This window comes from Homo sapiens, chromosome 6, assembly GCF_000001405.40.
Source record: "Homo sapiens chromosome 6, GRCh38.p14 Primary Assembly".
In the NCBI taxonomy this organism is placed as follows: Eukaryota; Metazoa; Chordata; class Mammalia; order Primates; family Hominidae; genus Homo; species Homo sapiens.
This window is the reverse complement of record NC_000006.12, coordinates 136,228,376-136,250,615: the sequence shown is the minus strand read 5'-3', so window position 1 is coordinate 136,250,615 and position 22,240 is coordinate 136,228,376. Positions and strand designations below refer to the sequence as shown.

The 22,240-nt window shown below is 40.4% G+C and overlaps 1 protein-coding gene across 5 annotated transcripts, besides 1 other annotated feature; it reads left to right on the top strand.

Annotated features, from left to right (window-relative positions):
- MTFR2 (mitochondrial fission regulator 2) lies at positions 305-19,582 on the top strand. Of its 5 annotated transcripts, NM_001318738.2 has the most exons (9): positions 305-352; positions 1,463-1,579; positions 3,056-3,155; positions 5,747-5,851; positions 7,643-7,755; positions 8,940-9,172; positions 10,796-11,150; positions 17,117-17,291; positions 19,228-19,582. In NM_001318738.2, the coding sequence occupies exons 4-9, from the start codon at positions 5,813-5,815 to the stop codon at positions 19,339-19,341; spliced, it is 1,029 nt and encodes a 342-aa protein (NP_001305667.1). In that variant the 5' UTR covers positions 305-352; positions 1,463-1,579; positions 3,056-3,155; positions 5,747-5,812; the 3' UTR covers positions 19,342-19,582. The 5 variants fall into 5 exon arrangements, with proteins under 5 accessions (NP_001305667.1, NP_612428.2, NP_001092756.1 ...); NM_138419.5 differs by lacking the exon at positions 3,056-3,155; NM_001099286.3 differs by lacking the exon at positions 3,056-3,155 and having other exon boundaries at positions 305-640.
- Positions 636-855: an enhancer, noted in NCBI's record as "active region_25109". NCBI's record gives its function as "activates an Ori minimal core promoter by ATAC-STARR-seq in GM12878 lymphoblastoid cells {active_cell/tissue: GM12878}" and the evidence as "EXISTENCE:reporter gene assay evidence [ECO:0000049][PMID:35858748]".
- Positions 19,583-22,240: the final 2,658 nt, after the last annotated feature.

Here is a 22,240-nt window from a genome sequence, read left to right as displayed (position 1 = left end):
TAAGACACTCCCTGCGAAGAGTTCTGTGGGGTACGAACTCCGGACTGCGAGTCCAGCTCACGAGTTTGTACCTAAAACCTTGCCCTGCGGGAGCGACGCTGTCCTAACGCGACCTGCCCTGCCCGTCAGCTCCTATTGGCTGACTCTCGGAAGACCCGCCTCTTGAGAAGGAAAAGCAGTCGCTTCCCGAATTGCCTGACATCATGCAATGACCAATCAGAAGCAGCGATCTTCAGTTTTGCCCAATGAGGCTGGTTACGGGTCCTGGCCCGCGGAGTTTGATTTCGTCCTGGGATGCGGAAGTAGCAGTCCTGTCATGCGGAAGTAGCAGTCCGGTCCTAGGGACTAGCAGGTGGGTTGGTTGGGCGCAGGAGGACGGGGGCGCGCTTCCCATAACATTACCCTGGCTGAGCGTGAGGCTCCAGGGCTGGGCACCGGGTTGACCTCTTATTCCTCGCTGAGGGCATCGTTACCGCCTGTGGCTGCAAGCCGAGGCGCGCGGGTGGAAACTGGGTCGAGGTCTGGGTAGACGTCTGAGCGATCTGCACAAGGAGTGGCGCAGTCTGGAATTTGATTGAGGATTCCTAACGCCCTCCGCTTGATGTTCTGGTGATTCCCGGGGGCTCGGCTTCGGAGGAAGGTGAGCAAGGCTACCACGCTGTGTTTGGAGAGCACCAGGAAGCTTGTGACCAAAGCGAGGGACGCGATCCGGCTCTGGTCACGGCCTGTTACTAGATGGGTGACCAAGTCACGTCCCGTATCTGGAATTCATGCTTCTCATTTTAAAAGAGTGAGGAGGGATGGGCATTCCACATGGCTGGGGAGGCCTCACAATCATTGCTGAAGGCAAATGAGTAGCAAAGTCACATTTTACATGGTGGCAGGCAAGAGGGCTTGTGCAGGGGAACTCCTGTTGATAAAACCATCACATCTCATGAGACTTATTCACTACCACGAGCATAGTATGGGGGAAGCTGCCCCCATGATTCAGTTATCTTCACCTGGCCCCACCCTTGACACGTGAGGATATGTGTGTGAGAAGAGCTACTGTTTATTTTTTTAAAAACTGAGTCGTCCCTTGCCTGCTTTCAAGGGTTGGCTAAACTCACCCATCTGCTAAGAGTCTCAGCCCAAAGCTTTCAGGAAAGAGCGAGCTTCGCTGTGGCATGTAACTTGAAGCCTTGCCTACTAAGTAGATGTCCAGTTTGTTGATTGGTCTCTATTAACTAGGCTCAAACATCCTACGAGGTTTTAATGTAATCTAACCAATTAATTGAAATTTCCTTTACAACCCTCTCTTTCCCCCAGACTTCCCCTTCCTTTCTTTTTCTCTGACTTAAAAGAATGCTGGCTAGGAGAAATTAGTTGACTGTGTCGTGTATCAAGAGGACTTTTCCAGGTTATGTAGTACAATTTGGCATTTATTTGTCAAGAGTAACATTTTCTAAAATTTTCCCCAAAGGCACCAAGAAACTGATAATGTTCCTTTGAATTGGCTTCTGTATTTGCTTCATCAATGTCTCTCATACTGAATATCTTAAGAGAGATGCTGGAATATTTTGGCGTTCCTGTAGAACAGGTAAATGTCGTTTTGGATTGGAATGGATCTGTTGTATTTGTTCTTGGGTTTCATTTTGAAAATGACTTATATGTAATCATTTGATTTAAGGCAAAGTTGTTGCTTCTTTTTAGTTGGAACAAAGGTGAGTTTGTAATAGTATAGCTTTGATGATTTGAGTTAGAAGAGGGATAAGATTATTGAGAACATATTTACCTGATAGGACAAATGCCAACAGAAGATACAAAGGAAGCAAAATATAGACATGAGCTTCACAGAATTACATTTATTGCACAGATACATTAAAACTTCTATTCAAGGTAATTTATAAACAAGTTCAATATTTAAAGCTCAATAAATCCAGAATAAATCTAATGGAAAGAGGATGATTTAGGCCTGAGAATTATAAGCTGTATTAGTCTGTTCTCATGCTGCTAATAAAGACATACCGGAGACTGGGTAATTTATAAAGGAAAGAGGTTTAATTGACTCACAGTTCCACATGGCTGGGGAGGCCTCACAATCATTGCTGAAGGCAAATGAGTAGCAAAGTCACATTTTACATGGTGGCAGGCAAGAGAGCTTGTGCAGGGGAACTCCTGTTTATAAAACCATCACATCTCATGAGACTTATTCACTACCACGAGCATAGTATGGGAGAAGCTGCCCCCATGATTCAGTTATCTTCACCTGGCCCCACCCTTGACACGTGAGGATAATTACAATTCAAGGTGAGATTTGGGTGGGGACACAGCCAAACCATATCATAAGCAAATCAAATTTTATCTACTTGTTGAAAATCTGCTGTATCTAAGACAATATGCTTGTTTCTGCAGGTAATACAGAGGAGTAATACATGGTTGTATTCATAATGCTTAAAATATGAGGAATAAGAAACAATAAAGATAACTGTAATATGAGATTGTAAGGAAGACGGGTGGGGTGAATTAGAAGAAAGTAGTCAAGGATAATTTAAGATTTTTTTAAAGCAAAAGTAAGTTGAAGAATCATAGTACCATTATTATAAATGGGCATCTTAGTATGAGAAACTAGTTTGAATATGGAGATGAGGTGAGTCAGAGGTGATGTTAGAACATATAAGTAGAAATATCCTTCAGACAATTGGATATATATATGGTTTTAGTATGTAGGAAAGAAAAAGATTCAGTTTTGGGAGTTATCTGCTTTGTTTTGATATTTAAAGCCATGGACTTCGATAATGGCAAATGTCATTAGATGTGATTGAAACATTCTAAATATCAGTAATCGAGAGACTGAAGATAACAGCTGAACATTTGTTTATCACTATTAGGTTATTGGTGACCTTAAGAATTTCTGTAAGTGGAGAATGGGACTGTGTTGGAGTAGTTTGAAGAATATCAGGAAGGGAGGTGGGATCAGCAACCTTCTTTTGAAAAGTTTGCTTGTGAAAAGAAATTGAGAGAGGCCATCAGCCTGAAGGGGCCGCAGGATGGAATTTTTCTTTTTCTTTTAAAGTTAGAAGTAACTTCAGCATATTTGTCATCACTCTGGAAGAAACAGACAGGAAGAAATTTAAGATCCACATGAGAGAGGATTGAGCACCGCCTTTGAGAAGGTAGTTGGGCAAGGGATCTAATTAAATAAGTCTTGGAAAGGAGAGAGACTGTCCTGCCTTAAAGAACAGAATGAAAGTGAGAGAGAGTGAAAAGAGATTTTTTTTTTTTTTAAGATGGAGTCTTGCTCTGTTGCCCAGGCTGGAGTGCAGTGGTGCAATCTTGGCTCACTGCAACCTCTGCTCCGAGGTTCAAGTGATTCTCCTGCCCCAGCCTCCCGCGTAGCTGGGATTACAGGAGCCTGCCACCAATGCCCAACTGATTTTTATATTTTTAGTAGAGATGGGGTTTTACCACGTTGGCCAGGCTGGTCTTGAATTCCTAACCTCAAGTGATCCACCTGCCTTGGCCTTCCGAAGTGCTGGGATTACAGGCGTGAGCCCCTGCGCCTGGCCTGAAAAGAGATTTTGAATGGAGCTAAGTAAGAGAAGTGAAGTTGAGGTATGTCAAGTTGAAGTTCTCGGTTTTCTCAGTAAGAGCAGAGACAAGGTCACTTGCAGGTAATGAAGTGGTGGGATTTGAGAAGGGATTTCAGAGATTGGAGACTGCTCTGGGCAATGTGGTATAGAATGTAACATGTTATGAAGGGATTTCAGAATACCTGTGAGAACCCAGCTGAAGTCATCATGGAATTGTAGTTTTTCTAAATATTGTCGTTTTGTGATTTTTTTTTCCTAGCTAAGAGTAATTACAGTAGTGTATTCATTAGCAGTGTGGGAGCACATAATATCAAAAGAATGAACCATTTTTGAGTGGCATTGAACATATTACTGAAATAATTAACCAGAAAATCCATGCTTGGTAGGAAAATTAGTAAAGTCAAAATGTGGGTACTAGACCAGGAATAGAGGGAAGATGAAATAATAAGAATGGTGAAGATGGCCAGATGTGGTGGGTCGCCCCTGTAATCCCAACACTGTGGGAGGCTGAGGCAGGCATATCACTTGAGCTCAGGTTTTCAAGACCAGCTTGGGCAACATGATGAAACCTCGTCTCTATAAAAAATATAAAAATTAACCAGGCATGGTTGTGTGCACCTGTGGTCCCAGCTACTCCAGAGGCTGAGGTAGGAGGATTGCTTGAGCCTGGGAGGTGGAGGTTGCAGTGAACCCTGATCATGCCCTGCACTCCAGCCTGGGTGACAGAGTGAGACCCCATCTCAAAAAAAAAACCTCAAAAAGCAAACAACAACAACAACGAAAATGGTGAAGATGGCCAGGGGCAATGAAGGAATGAGAGGAAGGACAAGAGTTTATTAGGATGGAAACTGCCGAGCAAGATAGGAAGGTATCATTTAAATTAACTAAGAACTAACCCAACTCTTGGGTGACTGTATATGTCATAGGTAGCCGTCATGGTAGCAAAGCCTCTATGCCTGTTGTTCTTAGCAGGGGTACGCAGATGAATGGTCTGTAGAACACTTTAAATATAAATGCTCAATCCTCCAAATATTCTACTAGTAATAGGTCTGGGATCTATATCCTCTAGGCTGTGCAATCCAGTATGATAGCCACTGGCCACATGTCACTTTTAAGTACTCAAAATATCTGAATTGAGATCTTCTATAGGTGTAACCTATATAAGGGATTTTGAAGACTGAGTGTGAAAAAAATGTAAAATAATCTTAGCAATTTAAAAATATTATCGGTTGAGCATCACTCAAAACCTGAAATCTGAAATGCTCCAAAATCCCAAATGTCTTGAGTGCCAGCATGACACCACAATGGGAAAATTTTACACCTGACCTCACATGATGGGTCACAATCAAAACGCAGGTGCACAACCCACAGTTTATTTAGCCTGCTGTTGTTAGTTGTTGCTGTTGTTTAACAGCTGAGACCGGCGGTTTATTGGTTGTTTTAATGAGGATGCTAATAGGTGGCTACCTATATCAGTTGGGATCTTAGGAAAAATGTCCAATTTATTATATCACATCTTTTGGCTGGTGGGGGAGAGTGGTTCCTGTGGCAATGGTTTACACTAATTTGGGAAGCCCACACTAAAGGATGAAGTATTATTTGAGCTATAGTAGCACATTATTACTTCTAATGCCTTTTCAAGAGCTGACTGCCAGCAGATATATTTCACTTTATGTAAATAACTCTGAATTGTCTAGGACCTGATTTATTTATTCCCTTTTTTATTTCTCCTTTAAAGGAAATTACATAAGTATACTCCATATTACGTCGTTGCTTGATAATTTGAAATTGTCTATTTTTGGTTGGGCCAAAAAGATGGGATTTGTAGCTGGGGGAGGGGATGCAATTTTTTTGAACAAAGTTTCTCCCAAGGTATTGGACATTATCAGAAATAGAACAAAATGAATTGTGCTTTTTAAAAGATCTTCCTGGAATGTATATATGTTTACTACCATCTCTTTTTAAGACAAATACTCACAAAGTTCTATTCTTTGAAGAAAGGCTCTGCCATTCTATATTTCTTTTTAAAAATAAATGTTATTTTACAGGACTCCCTGTATTAAAAAAAAAATGCCACTGCGTCTTTTTTGTCTTTTTTACATCTCCTTTTTTCATACTTATATAAATATGCTTAATCAGAGTGCATTTTAATTCATACTTTATGTTTAAAATAGGTTTTGCTGATTTGGGAAAATAAAGACTATGGATCAACTAGGAGTATTGTTCGTATTATTGGGAAAATGCTTCCACTGGAACCTTGTCGAAGACCTAATTTTGAGGTAAGTCAGTCAACATAAATTGTTTAAGTACCAAGTACAAAATAATCCTAGGTACTCTTACAGGTATGGGGTAGAACAACAAAGGAAGAAACATTTCCTGCAAGCCAAAAACCTGTAGTTTACCCTTGGGAACAAGCCATTTCATATATGTTTTTGTGTTTTTGTTTATTTAAATACAATCATGCATCGTTTAATGATGGGGGGATACATTTTGAGAAAAGCGTTGTTTGGTGATTTTGTCATTGTGCAAACATCACAGAGTGTACTGGCACAAACCTAGATGGTATATGGCCTATTATGCACCCAGGCTATATGGTATGACCTGTTGCTTCTAGTCTGCAAACCTTTTCAGCATGTTACTTTACCGAATACTGTAGGCAGTTGTTACACAATGGTAAGTGTTTGTGTGTCTAAACATAGAAAAAGTATGGTAACAATGCAGTAAAAATTAGATAAAAAATGTTACGTCCGTATAGGGCACCTACCATGAATGGAAGATGGGAAGTTGCTCTGGGTGAGTCAGTGAGTGGTGAGTGAATTTGAAGGCCTAGGACATTACTGTACACTACTGTAGACTTTATAAACACTGTACACTTAGGCTACACTAAATTTATACAAAAACCCTTTCTTCAATAATACATTAACCTTAGCTTACTGTAACTTTTTTTATAAATGTTTTTATTTTGTAAAAATTTTTGACTCTTTTGTAATAATACTTATCTTAAAACACACATTGTACTGCTATACAAAATATTTTTATATCCTTATTCTATAAGCTTTTTATGATTTAAAAATTTTTAAATTTTTTATACTTTTAAAATTTTTTTGTTAAAACTAAGACACAAGCACACACGTTAGCCTAGGCCTACCCAGGGCAGAATCATCAATATCACTGCCTTCTACCTCCACATCTTGTCCTACTGGAAGGCCTTCAGTGGCAATAACATGCATGGAGCTCTCATCTCCTATAATAACAATACCTTCTCCTGGAATACCTCCTGAAGGACCTTCCTGAGGCTGTGGTATAGTTAACTTTTTTTTTTTTTTTTTAAGATAAGGTCTTGCTGTCGCCCAGGCTGAACGAAGTGGAGTCGCGTGATAACGGCTCACTGCAGCCTCAACCTCCTGGGCTCAAGTGATCCTCCCACCTCAGCCTCCTGAGTAGCTGGGACTACTTGGGAGGTGTGCACCACCACACCTGGCTGACTTTTTTTTGGTCTGGTAGAGACGGGATCTTGCTATGTTGCCCTGGCTGATCTTGAACTCCTGGCCTTAATTGATCCTCCTGCCTTGGCCTCCCAAAGTGCTGGGATTACAGGAATGCACCACCATGCCCAGCCAACTTTTCTTTTTAAGTAGAAGGAATACACTCTAAAATAATAATAAAAAGTATAATATAGTAAATACTAGGTGATAGGAATATTTCAGTTTCATCATAATCTTATGTGACCCCATGTATATGCAGTCCATGATCGACCTAAATGTTACGTGGTACATGTCTGTAATGACATTCACAGATGGGCAAGTGTGAACAATAACTGAAGAGCTTAATTTTATTTTGCATTTTGTGATAGATGAAATTAACCAGGGGAGAGAATATTGCTTAGTGCTTAGACTTCAGCATAACATTTTCCCCAGTGTTCTTTCGTGCTAACAGGTACATGTTTTTCTATTGAATATTCTTTTTATTTTTCTTTCTTTTGGATTGTTAACTAATTTAATACCATGGGGCATGTGTCTTCTCCTGACTCCCTGCAGAGCTCTGACTATTTTTTTCTTTTTTTACTTTAGTTGATCCCGCTCTTGAACTCTGTAGACTCTGATAATTGTGGATCTATGGTTCCATCTTTTGCTGATATTTTGTATGTGGCAAATGATGAAGAAGCCAGTTATCTCAGATTTCGGTAATTTTATATGCTTATCTTGGGAAGTGGGCTATAAACTGAATTCTTGCATGTGTCGAAGCTTGTTAAGATTGATTGAGCTTTTTTGTTTTGTTTATCTTCAAACTGTGCTGTGCCCTACTGTATCTTCTTAATAAAGAAGACTGGCTGCTTTTCATTTTTTTAGCCAGTTGTTTTTTTTTTAGTGCACATTTAAACCTAACACCAGGCCTAGGAGGGAGTGGTTATTAAAGGGATATTAGAATCATGTTTTTAGCCAAAACTTATATACTGTTTACTGTGCACCAGGCAATGATGTTAAATGTATTTCAAAATTTGGATGTGTTACTCCTAGGGAGTATTACTTTATATGTTAGTATATTCAGATACAGGCTCTAAGCACATTAAGTGTCAATTATTTAAGTATTCCGGCTGATTTTATTATGTATCAAACTGGCACCAATTTTCAAATAGTTAAAATAACATACATTTCACCCTAACATAATCCTGAATGTAAGGCTCTTTATTAACTTATATAGAACTTCTAAATAAATTAACTTACCTGCGTTTAAAGTTAATAAGTAGAACAATTGCAGGTAATTATTTTGGTTTTATAATCTAAAAGCAAAGTTTGTTTTGTTCATTCCCTGGTCACTGACTGGTCCTCCATTGGAGGCTATGTTCTGTTTATATTGGGAATACAAAGCTAAATAAGATATTTTCCTTGTCCTCAGTGGTGACTCTAGAAACAATCATGGGGGATAGAGAGTAGGTTTTTTTTTTTTTTTTTTTTTTTTTTTTTGAGACAGAGTCTTACTCTGTCGACCAGGCTGGAGTGCAATGGCACGATCTTGGCTCACCACAACCTCTGCCTCCCAGGCTCAAGTGATTCTCCTGCCTCAGCCTCCTGAGTAGCTGGGACTACAGGGGCACGTCATCACACCGGCGAATTTTTAAAAATATTTTTAGTAGAGACAGGGTTTCGCCATTTTGACCAGGCTGGTCTCGAACTCCTGGCCTCAGGTGATTCACTGCCTCAGCCCCCAAAGTGTTGGGATTACAGGTGTGAGCCACTGTGCCCGGCCTGAGAGTAGCTTTTATTTTGTTTTATTGTCTTTTGATTTTCACGTAGGAGTGTAAGAGTTTATACCTCTTTTGATTGGAAATATATCTTCCCTCCATTTCCTATTTTTTTTCACCCACAGAAATAGTATATGGAAAAATGAAGAAGAGAAAGTGGAAATTTTTCATCCTTTGCGACTAGTTCGGGATCCACTGTCACCTGCTGTAAGACAGAAAGAAACTGTGAAAAATGACCTGCCTGTAAATGAAGCTGCAATTAGAAAAATAGCTGCCCTTGAAAATGAGCTGACTTTTCTTCGCTCTCAGATTGCAGCAATTGTGGAAATGCAGGAACTGAAAAATAGTACAAATTCTAGTAAGTAACAGTAGGATTTTTGTTTCAGTTAGATGATACTCATGGTATAGCCTATACCAACCTGTACAGCATGATACTGTACTGAATATAGTACGTATAGTAGCATACAGGAACATCTAGTATTTAAGTGAGTACAATTCTGAATAAGTACCATGAAAACATTAAATGTACATAAAAGGATGTTGAATATACAAAATTATTATATCTGATGTTTATTCAGGATAAATTAAGACACATTTGTAGTGAGGGGATGGCTTTGATTTAAAGAAGAACTAGCTTTACTATACTAGAAGATTGTATTTTTGTATTAAAAAGTCTGTTGTCTTCTAAGTAAGCTTTTTTTTTTTTTTTTTGAGACGCAGTCTTGCTCTGTCGCCCAGGCTGGAGTGCAGTGGCACGATCTTGGCTCACTGCAAGCTCCACCTCCCGGGTTCACGCCATTCTCCTGCCTCAGCCTCTCGAGTAGCTGGGACTACAGGCGCCCGCCACCACGCTCGGCTAATTTTTTGTATTTTTAGTAGAGACGGGGTTTCACCGTGTTAGCCAGGATGGTCTCGATCTCCTGACCTCGTGATCTGCCCGCCTTGGCCTCCCAAAGTGCTGGGATTACAGGCGTGAGCCACCGCGCCCGGCCCTCAGTAAGCTTTTCTAACTCTTCATGAAAGCATTGGATATTAAAGAGGAAGAATGCATTGGTTTGAAAGAGGATATAGGTTTGAGGCATCATATGTTTATAGTTTTTAGTTATTGCTGCTACACTTCCACCAAGTTGAGGTGAGTCATGTTTTCCAGATGATTGTTTTATAAATTTATAGAGATACAACTTGCTTTAAACTTATGCACACACATACACACAACATGTATGTATGCGTGTATAAAATGTAAAGCAATCTAGGTACTGAATGCTTTTCACAACAGATTTGGCTGTAAAGGGCTGTGTGTAAATATAATTGCTAAAAATTTTTTAATACATATGTATATATACAAATGCATAAATACACATATAATTTAAGATATTTATACAGTGTATATTTATAACATTTACATATAAACACATTATATAATATACAATAACTTATATTTATACATAATAAATAAAATGATATATAACTATACACAGTTTTCTTAAGCAATCGTGTTTACCCACAGTCCTTTATGAGCAAATCTTAAAGTGGAAAAGTTAAATACTCAGTACCCATCTTAAGCTTTGCTTAGAAAATAATATGCTTATTTCTCCAATGTCATTATACAGTGAATACATCAATTTGTGTTTCTAACTACAAGTTGTTGATTTCTGTTTTAGCTTTTTTAAAATAGAGGATGAAGTTCAGAGTGTATGTGAATTACTGAAAAAACTCTTTTTTTTGTTTGTTTAAGATGCATTCTCCTCCCCGCTCTGCTCTTGGACCTACACTGAAAATTCCTAACTGGATTAAAAATGAATTCACAATTTGACTTGACTCTTAAATTACTAAGCAGATGGGATTGACACTCTTTCCTTGCTACCATATCGCTACTAGCATTACAGAAATTGCTCCTGTTTTGGTTCTAATTAGTGTTATTAATATATATTACGTTAGAGATAATTGTGCATGATTTTGTAATAAACCACTTTGTTTGTAGGTTCCTTTGGCTTGAGTGACGAGCGCATTAGTTTGGGTCAGCTGTCATCATCGCGGGCTGCCCATCTGAGTGTGGACCCAGATCAGCTTCCAGGTTCAGTGCTTTCTCCTCCTCCTCCTCCACCACTTCCTCCTCAGTTTTCATCTCTCCAGCCACCGTGTTTTCCTCCCGTACAACCAGGATCTAATAATATTTGTGACTCAGATAATCCAGCAACTGAAATGAGCAAACAGAACCCGGCTGCTAATAAGACCAATTATAGTCATCATTCAAAAAGCCAGAGAAATAAAGATATTCCAAACATGTTGGACGTTCTAAAGGATATGAATAAGGTTAAGCTTCGTGCAATTGAGCGGTATGTTGTTGTAATTTGAAAAGTGAACTGAAATTTTGTCAATTTTATGTTTAGAAAAATTATTATGTTTATGAAAATTAACATATATGTCTTTTTTCTTATTCTTCTTCACCCCTGAATACCTCTCCTAGAGATAATGACATTCAATTATTTTTGACTATTTCTTCTTCTAGTCTCTTATCACCATATTTTTGAAACAACATACTTATTTGCTATTTCTTGATATTTTAATTATGTTGACTTCCAATTGTAGGATATTAGGAATATATTTTCTTAGATACTCTACCCAGGACACACACACACATCTTGCCACGTCTTCCTGAAATAGTTAAACCACAATCTTTAGTTAAATGAGTATTCAGAATTAATATCCTTATTATAACAGTGAACATCCACAGTAAGCCATTTCTCATATTGTAACCCAGGCTGTAGGGCAGTGTTGAAATTACAGCTCACTGCAGCCTCGACCTCCTGGGCTCAAGTGATCCTCCCACCTCAGCTTCCTTAGTAGCTGGGACTATAGGCATGTGCCACCATGCCTGGCTAATTTTTGTATTTTTTTGTAGAGATGGGGTTTCGCCATGTTGCCCAGGCTGGTCTCTAACTCCTGAGCTCAAGCGATCTGCCCATGTTGGCCTCCCAAAGCGCTGGGATTACAGGTGTGAGCCACTGTGCCTGGCCCCATTTCATATATTTTGACTACATTTTATTTGTTGAATAATTTTTTTAGAGTTAATAATTGCCTCTCTGAGTTCCATGTGTGTGTGTGTGTGTGTGTGTGTGTGTGGTGAAAAAACATAATGAGCTCTATTCTGTTAACAAATTTTTATGTGTATAATACAGTATCGTTAAGCACAATGTTGTACAACAGATCTCTAGAGCTTTTTCATCTTGCATAACTGAAATTTTATACTCACTGAACAGTAATCATTTCCCTCTCCCCTCATCCCCTGGCAACTGCCATTCTTCTTTCTACTTCTATAGTTTGATTACTTTATTTTTTATTTTATCTTATTAAAAAAAATAGAGACAGGATTTCACTGTGTTGCCCAGGCTGGTCTTGAACTCGGCTCAAGTGATCCTCCTGCCTCGGTCTCTCAAAGTACTGGGATTACAGGCAAGAGCCACTGTGTCTGGCCCAGTTTGATTACTTTAGATGCCTCATATAAGTGAATCATGCAGCATTTATCTTTTTGTGACTGGCTTATTTCACTTAGCATGCTGTATATTGTATGTATATATCCCATTTCTTAATCCATTCATCTGTTGATAGACATTTAGTTTGCTTCCATGTCTTGTCTATTGTAAATAGCACTGCAATGAATGTGGGTGTGCAGATATCTCTTTGAGATGCTGATTTCACTTCTTTTGGATAAGTACCCAGAAGTGGGATTGCTGGATCATAGGGTAGTTCTATTTCTAATTTTTGGATGACCCTCCATTTAGTTCTTGGTGATTCTCCTCAAGGATCCCTCTGTGCCTGAAGGATTTCCTTCGCTTACCTCTTGAGCATTCTTGCCCCCTTTTTTCTATGCTGCATCACTGATTTCCTAAATGTCATATCTTCCTATAGCTTCCTGAGAAACATAAAGGGTAGATTAGTTTACTACTTTGCATGTCCAAAAATGTTCTTTTATTCTTTTTTTTTTTTAGATGGAGTCTGGCTCTGTCGCCCGGGCTGGAGTGCAGTGGCATGATCTTGGCTCACTGCAGCTTCTGCCTCCTGGGTCTTGGTTCAAGCAATTCTTTTGCTGCAGCCTCCCGAGTAGCTGGGATTACAGGCACGTGCCACCATGCCCAGCTAATTTTTGTAGTTTTAGTAGAGACAGGGTTTCACCATGTTGGCCAGGCTGGTCATGAACTCCTGACCTTGTGATCTGCCGGCCTCGGCCTCCCAAAGTGCTGGGATTACAGGTGTGAGCCACCACACCTGGCCCACATTTTTAATTTTTAAGAGCTGTTTCTTTTTCTTCAAATGCTTCTTGTTAAAATCTTTTTGGTTTTGTTGGTCTTATCCCACTGACAGTATTAAAAGTGTAGGTTTGTTTTAAGTTTCCTCTGTTCTTGAATTACTGTATTTTTTGTGAGTTTCTTTTTTCCTTTTAGCTTTGATCTCTATCTTTAGTTTTGTAGCCTTGGGTAAGCATCTGGTGATTCTTATTTAAAATGAGGCAAGGAAAAGCTGATCGCATGTTCTTTGTGTGAGGTGGGCTTATCAACTTGGGAGCTTCACAGTTTAGTGATTAGGGAGAGGACCATTTTGTTGGCCACACCCCAGAGCTGTATGTCTTTTCTTTTGGGCTACAGGATTTTCCTTAGAAAGTTCTTCATTCTCCCTTGTGGTCAGGAGGGATGGGGATTACACAGCGGGTGCAAGTCAGGTCATTGGAGAGCTGAGTGGGGAAAGAGGAGCAAGAGAGAAGTGTCTTATTTAGCACACGCCCTGTGTTCAGCAGGGCGCCCACGCCCCATGCTCTCACTTTCATCAGCTTTCCAGCTTCCGGCATCTGGTTGCAATTCTTATCTCCTGTCTCCCCTTCTAATCTCTTTGTCCTTGTGGATATATAGATCTTTTTCATTTCTTTACTGTCATTTTAGTAGGATTTCACAAGGGATTTGCCATGCTTACTTGGAAATCCCTCAGTGAGGTTTTCGGTGAGAAAATAGATATATTTTCTGTATGATAGTCCTGGGACAGATAAGTCAGTTCTGTTTTTAATGAGGTTGTGAGTTTGATCCTTGCAACGATGCAGAAGGGCTCATTTTAAGTGAAATCCTTGTGAAGAGGAAAGAGAAGGGAAACCAGTAACCACAGGAAGAGCATGAGGCAGCTTGTTGAGAAGAATCTCATGGCTGTAGGTGCATGCTTGGTCCCAACTAGATCTTGTACTTGTGTTGTCGGGCTTAGTATCAAGTGGCAACTCTGTGACTGTTACCATCACTGGAAAAACAACTAAAAGGCCAGTAGCCTCTGCCTCCTGTCCCCCTATTCTCTCCTGAGTTGCCTCTACAGCTAACTTTGTTTTGTACGTTGCTGAGGAATCAGATGAGCTCTCTCACCTCTTTACACCTACAGATTCCCCGTGCAGATTCTCTGCCTTCCATCTTGCTGTTGGGAGCCAAGTGTCATCATTCATGGCCAGGCTCTTCCTTTGGTTACTGGTTTCCCTTCTCTTTCCTCTTCACAAGGATTTCACTTAAAATGAGCCCTTCTGCATCACTGAGTCTTCCTTCTATACTTCATCCTTCTCCTCACACCTGAGTACTTCCCACCTTCAAAACACATGTACTCTCAGCCGTTGTTCTGTTGTTCTGCTCCCCTTTCTGATATGAATTCTTGAAGTCGTCTATAATTTGTTTCTGTCTATCGCTGCTGCCTTCTACCCATGAAAACTCCATTGAAAACTGCTTCACCAGTGACTCCATGTGGCTAAATCCACTGGTCTCTTAGCATTGCTCGTCTTAGTTGACCTCTTGGCAGCATTTGATACAGCCTATGGTCCCCACCTCCTTGGAGCACTTTCTTTTTTTTTTTGAGACGGAGTCTCGCTCTGTTGCCAGGCTGGAGTGCAGTGGCGTGATCTCGGCTCACTGCAACCTCTGCCTCCTGGATTCAAGTGATTCTCCTGCCTCGGCCTCCCGAGTAGCTGGGACTACAGGCATGTGCCACCATGCTCAGCTAATTTTTGTATTTTTAGTAGAGATAGGGTTTCACCGTATTGGCCAGGATGGTCTCGATCTCTTGACCGCATGATCCGACCACCTTGGCCTCCCAAAGTGCTGGGATTACAGGCATGAGCCACTGCGCCTAGCCTGGAGCACTTTCTTTACTTGGTTTCTGGGAAAGCATACCCCCAGGTTTCCTCTGACCTCATCAGCTATTCCTTCTTATTCCTTAAACTCTTCCCCCTGGGCCTGGTCTTTAAATGTTGAAATACCTGGTTCAGACCTCAGCCCCCTCTCTTCTCTGTCCATGCTGTTTCCTTTGGTGAGCTCACCTAGTCCTATGACTCTAAATACCAGCTGTATGCTTATGACTCAAACGTTTATTTTTCTAGCCCTGACCTCTCCTCTTGAGCCCAGATGCACATACTGAAATGCCTACTTGACATCTTTATTTGCCTGTCTCACAGGTATCTCGTTTCACAGGTCCAAAACAGGACTTTTCCTTCCTACCTGTTCTTTTCCGCCACCTTGAAAACCTGTTCTTTCCCACGTCTTTTGCATATTAGCAAATGGCAACACGATCACCCGGTTGCTTAAGATCTAGGAATCAGGCCAGGTGCGGTGGCTCACACCAGTAAACACAGCACTTTGAGAGGCTGAGGTGGGCAGATCACTCGAGGTCAGGAGTTCGAGACCAGCCTGGCCAACATGGTGAAACCCAGTCTCTACTAAAAATACAAAAATTACCCTGACATGATGGCGCACACCTGTAATCCCAGCTACTAGGAGGCTGAGGCAGGAGAATTAATTGTTTGAGCCCGGGAGGCGGAGGTTGCAGTGAGCCACTATACTCCAGCCTTGGTGACAAAGCGAGACTCCGTCTCAAAAAAACAAAAACAAATATCTAGGAATCATCCTTCATCTTTATTTTCCATTCTATCTCCCACCGTTCCCATCAGCACATAGCTCAATTCTGTGGACCTCTTGACCTCCACTGCCAACTCCCCAGGCTAAGCCCATTCTTATCTAGCTTAGACTTCCGCAGCAGCCTCCTCAGTGATCTGTTTTCATTCTTGCCTCCTTATTTATTCTGCAGATAGTGACCAGAAGTCAGATCAGGCCATTCTCCTGCTTCAGACTCTTCTGTGGGTTTCCGTTGTGCTTGAATCAGTTCTAGAGCCCTTGCTGTGTCCGTAGGCCCCTCCAGGAGCCAGCCCTCACTTCTCTCGCTGAGCTCCTCTCCTATGCCCCATGTTTGCCCACTGCACTCCAGCTGCAGTTGCTTTCTTTTTTCCGTTTCTCACACATGCCAAGCTCCTTCCTGATGCAGCCCCAGATGTTTACACTAAAACTGACCCCTTGTCATTTTCTTAAAGAGGATGTTGCTTCCTTAAAGAGGCTTTTTTTCTGATCATATCTAAAGTGCTTCTGTCCCTAATCACTATTACATTTCCCTATTTTTTATTTTTTAATTTAGTTTTTTTTTTTTTTTTTTGAGACAGGGTGTTGCTCTGTCACCCAGGCTGGAGTGTAGTGGTGCCATGACTTGCTGCAGGCTTGACCTCCTTGGCTCAAGTGATCCTCCTGCCTTAACCTCCCAAGTAGTTGCCTGGCTAATTTTTAAATTTTTTCTAGAGATGGGGTCTCGCTATGTTACCCAAGCTGCTCTCGAACTCCTGGGCTCAGGCAGTCCTCCCACCTTGGCCTCCTAAAGTGCTGGGATTATAGGCATGAGCTACCGTGCCCAGCCTCTGTTTTGTTTTATTCACAGCTCTTATTACCAGCCAAATGATCTTACTTGTATATTGATGATAATCTTGCTGTAAGAATTGGGAGCAGAATACTCCCAAAGCATAAAATGGAGTCGGATGTGGTAGTGGGCATTCAATGAAGATTAAATGAATGAACAACCAAACAAATGAACAATTTGCGTAATTTTTTTTTTTTTGGCATGAACTCTCGTCCTTTTAAAAGTTCTTATTTATTTGAATTTTCCTACCCATTAGGAAATTAGAAAATTACCATAATAAAGATCTTCAGCATAGTGACATCTGACAAATCTCAGGTCATAACAAGGTTATGGCAGAGTCTCAAGTCACATGGGTTCTTGGTTTTCTGATTCTTCATTCATTGTGCCTTCCTTATTTCATTGCGAAAATTTCTTGAAGATTAGATTATTTTCAATCTCTTGAAGACTAATTAAATTGTAAGATATGCTTGTATTCCTGCCATGTTTGTCAACAAGGAGCTAAAATTACATCCAAGTTTTAATAAATTCAATTTTTTTTTTTAAAAAATAGGTCACCTGGCGGTAGACCCATTCATAAGAGGAAAAGACAGAATTCACATTGGGATCCAGTTTCTTTAATATCTCATGCACTTAAACAGAAATTTGCATTTCAAGAAGATGATTCTTTTGAGAAAGAGAATAGATCTTGGGAATCTTCCCCATTTTCTAGTCCAGAAACTTCAAGGGTAAGCTACACTAATGTAAAATTAATTTTTCAGTTTTTCTCAGATGTGTTGTTTATGTTACAGCTTTGTGTTCAAGTTCTCTTGAAGTAATTGTGCAGAATGGGCTATATAATTGTTTATTGATGCTGCTAATGTTTCTGGGGTTTTTTTGTTGTTAATTTTATATGCTCATTTTCACTTTTAGCCTATCATGAGCTCTTTTGAAATAAAATACTTAATTTGAAAAATATTTGTGCATATGTTTATAATGACTTATCTTAGGTGCCAATTTGATGTTGCCATCTGCAGTATGAACTGGGTGTCTGACAGTTTGAGAGGGCCAGGGAAGAATGGTGCAATAGATTCCCCCTAACCATATGGAATGTGAATACGCCAAGATTTTTCTCTGTCAAATATACAGACTTTGGATATTTTGTTGAATATAATGTTAACTCTGCATGTAAAAAAGCAAATGGGATTATAGTTATCTTTAGTGACAGCACTTACTGGATGCCTAGGATGACAAACACTGGATTTTAAGCATTTGAGCCTTAAGATTACTCCTTACTTGAAGTCTCTTTTCTTAAATTTAGAAGTAATTCTAATTTTGGGGTGGTTTTCACATGTCTTAATTTAGTTGAGGTAGTATTAACACATAAGAATAAGCCTTGAGAATGACAGGAGTGTGGAAGAGGAACAGCATCTAAAGTCAGCTAGATAGCACTGAGGAAGGACAGACGTCAGCAGAGGAAGAGACTGGAAAACTCAGATGCATTGAGCCCTCCAAGAGTGTAACAGGGCCGGGCGTGGTCATCCCAGCACTTTGGGAGGCTGAGGTGGGCAGATCATGCATGAGGTCAGGAGTTCGAGACCAGCCTGACCAACACGGTGAAACCTCGTCTCTACTAAAAATACGAAAATTAGCCGGGTGTGGTGGCACGCATCTGTAATTAATTCCAGCTACTCAGGAGGCTGAGGCAGGAGAATTGGTTGAACCCGGGAGGTGGAGGTTGCAGTGAGCCAAGATTGTGCCACTGCAGTCCAGCCTGGCGACAGAGCTAGAGTCAGTCTCAAAAAAAACAAAAAAAGAAAAAGAGTGTAACAGAGTGGAGGGACTTGTCACACACACACATTGCCACTCCAGTGTGTGCAGCCTCTGTGCTCACCATTGTGTGTGTGTGTGTATATATCTGATGTTTAGCATGTTGACTTAGAAAATTATATTCTTTTAACTATTTAAGAAGACACTTTAGAACTATTACTATAAAAATGCAAGTGTGTCTAAAATAAATGTTTAATTTTAACATTTGTAGAGCAGTTTGTAACTTGCAAAGTACCTTTTTTACTCATCTCACTAGATCTTCACAGCAGCAATCCCTTTTCCCCCGAAAATGTGAGGGAAATGATCCCTGTAGTGCCTATAATCCCATATCTAAGGGGCAGAGCAGAGACTAGAACTTGGTTTCTTAAAATTTGAGGATGTTTGAAAATTTGAGGATGCATTTATGTAAGAAGTTCCCGTAGGTGGAACACACTGTTTCCCAGTGATAGTGGATAAACGAAGTGTTTCTAGGTTGTCATTTACTGCTTGCTATTAGTTCAGTGTCTCTTAGCACTTTTTCCAGCCAATTACAAGTATTTTAGATAATCTTCTTTTTTTTTTTTTTTTTTTTTTTACATAGTTTTTAGCACTTAATTTCAGGCTGGGCACATAGGGACTCAAATTTTAGTTGCCTAAGAGCTCAGTCTGTGCCGCTGAGAGTGTCTCGTTCACTTTTGTCCTTGGCTCTGAGCGTAGTACCTGATACATAGCCAAATAACTATGTATTATAGTAATAAATACGGTAAATAAATATTGTGAATGAAACCTCAGAGGGTCATCTGGCCTTTGTCTTGCCATTCTTTTTTTTTTTTGACATTAGAATAATTTCTGTGTTAAATATTTGCTTTATTTCAGTTTGGACATCACATTTCACAGTCAGAAGGACAGCGAACTAAAGAAGAAATGGTCAACACAAAAGCTGTTGACCAAGGTATCAGCAACACAAGCCTTCTAAACTCAAGGATTTAAACTCAACTTAAGGTTGAGCTTTAAACTTCCAAAACTTCTTCCTGGATGATAAATTATTCTTAGAAACTGATTTGGACTGTTAAAGGCTAAAAGTAGATGTATTTAAAGACTCTTCTTGACACATTTTGCCTACACTTGCTATGTAAATATGTATGCCTGTCATTTTTGTTTCCTTTGTTCCTTTTTACGTTTATACTCTGTTCTTCTGTACATAGAGCTTAAAATAAACATTCTTTTTGAACTTGCTTGTGTTTTGTAGCAACCAAAATTCATGTTTTCTCACCACATAGTCTGACCTTTTTTTGTTGTTGTTTTTTGTGAGGAATGCCATAGGTAGAGTTTCTTGGATAATAGAAATGAAACATAAGTTTGCAACAGATATTTTGTCCCTCTTCTCCCACATACTAATGTGATATGGAAATTTACATGTTTCCCTGGACCTTTCAGACTGTGTGCAACAGCCAGGGAGCTGAGGTCACCACTGGAATGGACTCAGCCCCACCCATTTTGCCAAGCTCTTCACTTTCAGCAAAGCCCAGGTTTCCTACAGTTTTCTTGTTGTTGTGGTAGAGAGTTGCTTGCCTAGCCCCAGCTAGGAGTGGCTGTGTGGCAGTTATGACCATGAAGAAAAGGGTTAGAATCACAGAGATGACATCACTGAGCTGTTGAACCAACATCAACAGCTCCAGTTAGGAGTGGCTGTGTGGCAGTTATGACCATGAAGAAAAGGGTTAGAATCACAGAGATGACATCACTGAGCTGTTGAACCAACATCAACAAGTCCTGTTTGCAGACTTCTTAAAGAAAGATATATGAGAAAAATATGCCCCGTGTGTTTTCTGTCACATGCAGCCAAAAGCATTTGTAATGATACAGCAAGTATAGTAGTGTAATTTTTTTTTTTTTTTTTTTTTTTTTTTAGAGATAAGGTCTCACTCTGTTGCTCAGGATGGGGTGAGTGGCTCAGTCATGGCTCACTGCAAGCTCAAATTCCTGGGTTCAAGCGCTCTTCCTCCCTCAGCCTCTGAAGTAGCTGGAATATAAGTGTGTACCACCATCCTGGCTAATTTGTAGAGACAGGGTCTCACGTTGCCTAGGCTGGTCTTGAACTCCTGGCCTCAAGTGATCCTCCTGCCTTGGCCTCCCAAAGTGCTAGGATTATAAGCATGAGTTGCTGCACCTGTCGTAGTGTAGTTTCAATGCCTGCCTGTTATTTGTTATTCCTTCTGTGATTTTTTTTTTTTTTTCTTGGAGACAGGGTCTTGCTCTGTTGCCCAGGCTGGAGTGCAGTGGTACAGTGATGGCTCACTGCAGCCTCCAATTCCTGGGCTTAAGTGATCCTCACACCTCAGCCTCCTGAGTAGCTGGGACTACAGGCACATGCCATCATGCCTGGCTACGTTTTGTATTTTTTGTAGAGACGGGGTTTCACCATGTTGCCCAGGCTAGTCTCAAATTCCTGGGTTTAAGTGATCCACCCACCTCAGCCTCCCAAAGTGGTGGGATTACTGGCATGAGCCACTGCACCCAGCCTGTGATTGTTTTTGACATTTCTTATCTAGCTACCAATAGTTTTTGTTCTTGCTGTTGTTCCTGCCCCTCTTAAACGTTTTCCCCACGCTGACTTTTCTCATTATCCTTGTAATAAGAGTTTGTTTTCTCTTGAAATAACTTTTTTTATTTCCCAAGTAGGTAGGCTTGCATTTTCAGTGTTCTAGTTTCCTTGTTCAAAAATGTGTAATCAACAATCCTTCAACAACCAGCAGGAATCTTTGGAAGATACTATCCTCTGCCAAGTGAAGTATATCATTTCTTGACAAACCCCAAGTTGGCTTTTTGGTGGGCTTTTTTGCTCTTCGTTAGAATGGATTTCCTGCCTTCCCAAAGCACATTTCAACACCAGTGATGCATTAGAATTGAGTTGACTTTATGCTTCCCTGTGTTTCGAAGTATAACTCCTGGTATCTGGGAGGACATGACCATATGCCCTAAAATCTGCAGTGGCCTAATTTTGGGCTCCCGGTAACTGTTGTGTTCACTTTAGAATTCTTGAGGATTGGGGATTCAGTTTAGGCCTTCCTCATGAGCCTATACATAAATGACCTCATGCCAAATGTTATAAAATTCAGATTTGATTACTTTAAAATTCGATGAAATTACTGTAAATGCTGCAGCTTTCTCTTGCAAGTTACGTTAATAGCTTCCTTTCCTGACTCTGAAACACTTCTCTTGCTTGCCCTGGAGAAGTCCCTTCTCCCACTTCCTCAAATGCCTTTGAGTGGGTTTCATTTCCCTCCAAACTGGGTGTTAGTTAGTGCCCTCAAACTAAGGTGTTTGAGCAAGGATGTTTCACAAAACATTCTAATAGTATTTTATATTTGGAAAAATTTTAAAAAGGGTTTTATAATATAGACTGCAAGAAGTTAATGTTCAAAATCTTGACTGGTTGATATGCAGATGGTAGTGGTTTTCAAAGCAGGGAGGGGAGACGTGACTACCTAGGAGTGTGTATCAAAATCTGGAGAGGACCCAGATTGGAAACAGTGGCATGGGCCCCCTGGGGATGGCGGATCAAAAGGTCATACTTTTATAATGACTATGTATTTGTGTTTTAATTATGAAATCTAAATAAAAATTTCCAACAGTCCATTAAGGTTCCTATAACAAAATACCGTAAACAGAGGGGCTTATAAACAACAGAAATTTATTTCTCACAGTTCTGGAGGCTGGGAAGCCCAAGATCAAGGTGCTGGCAGATTTGGTGTCTGGGGGTGGGCCTGCTTCCTGGTTCATAGAAGGCCTAGCCATCTTCTTGCTGTGTCTTCACGTAGCTGAAGGGGTGAGAGAGCTCTCTGGGGTTTTTTACAAGGGCACTAATCGCAATCACGAGGACTCCGCC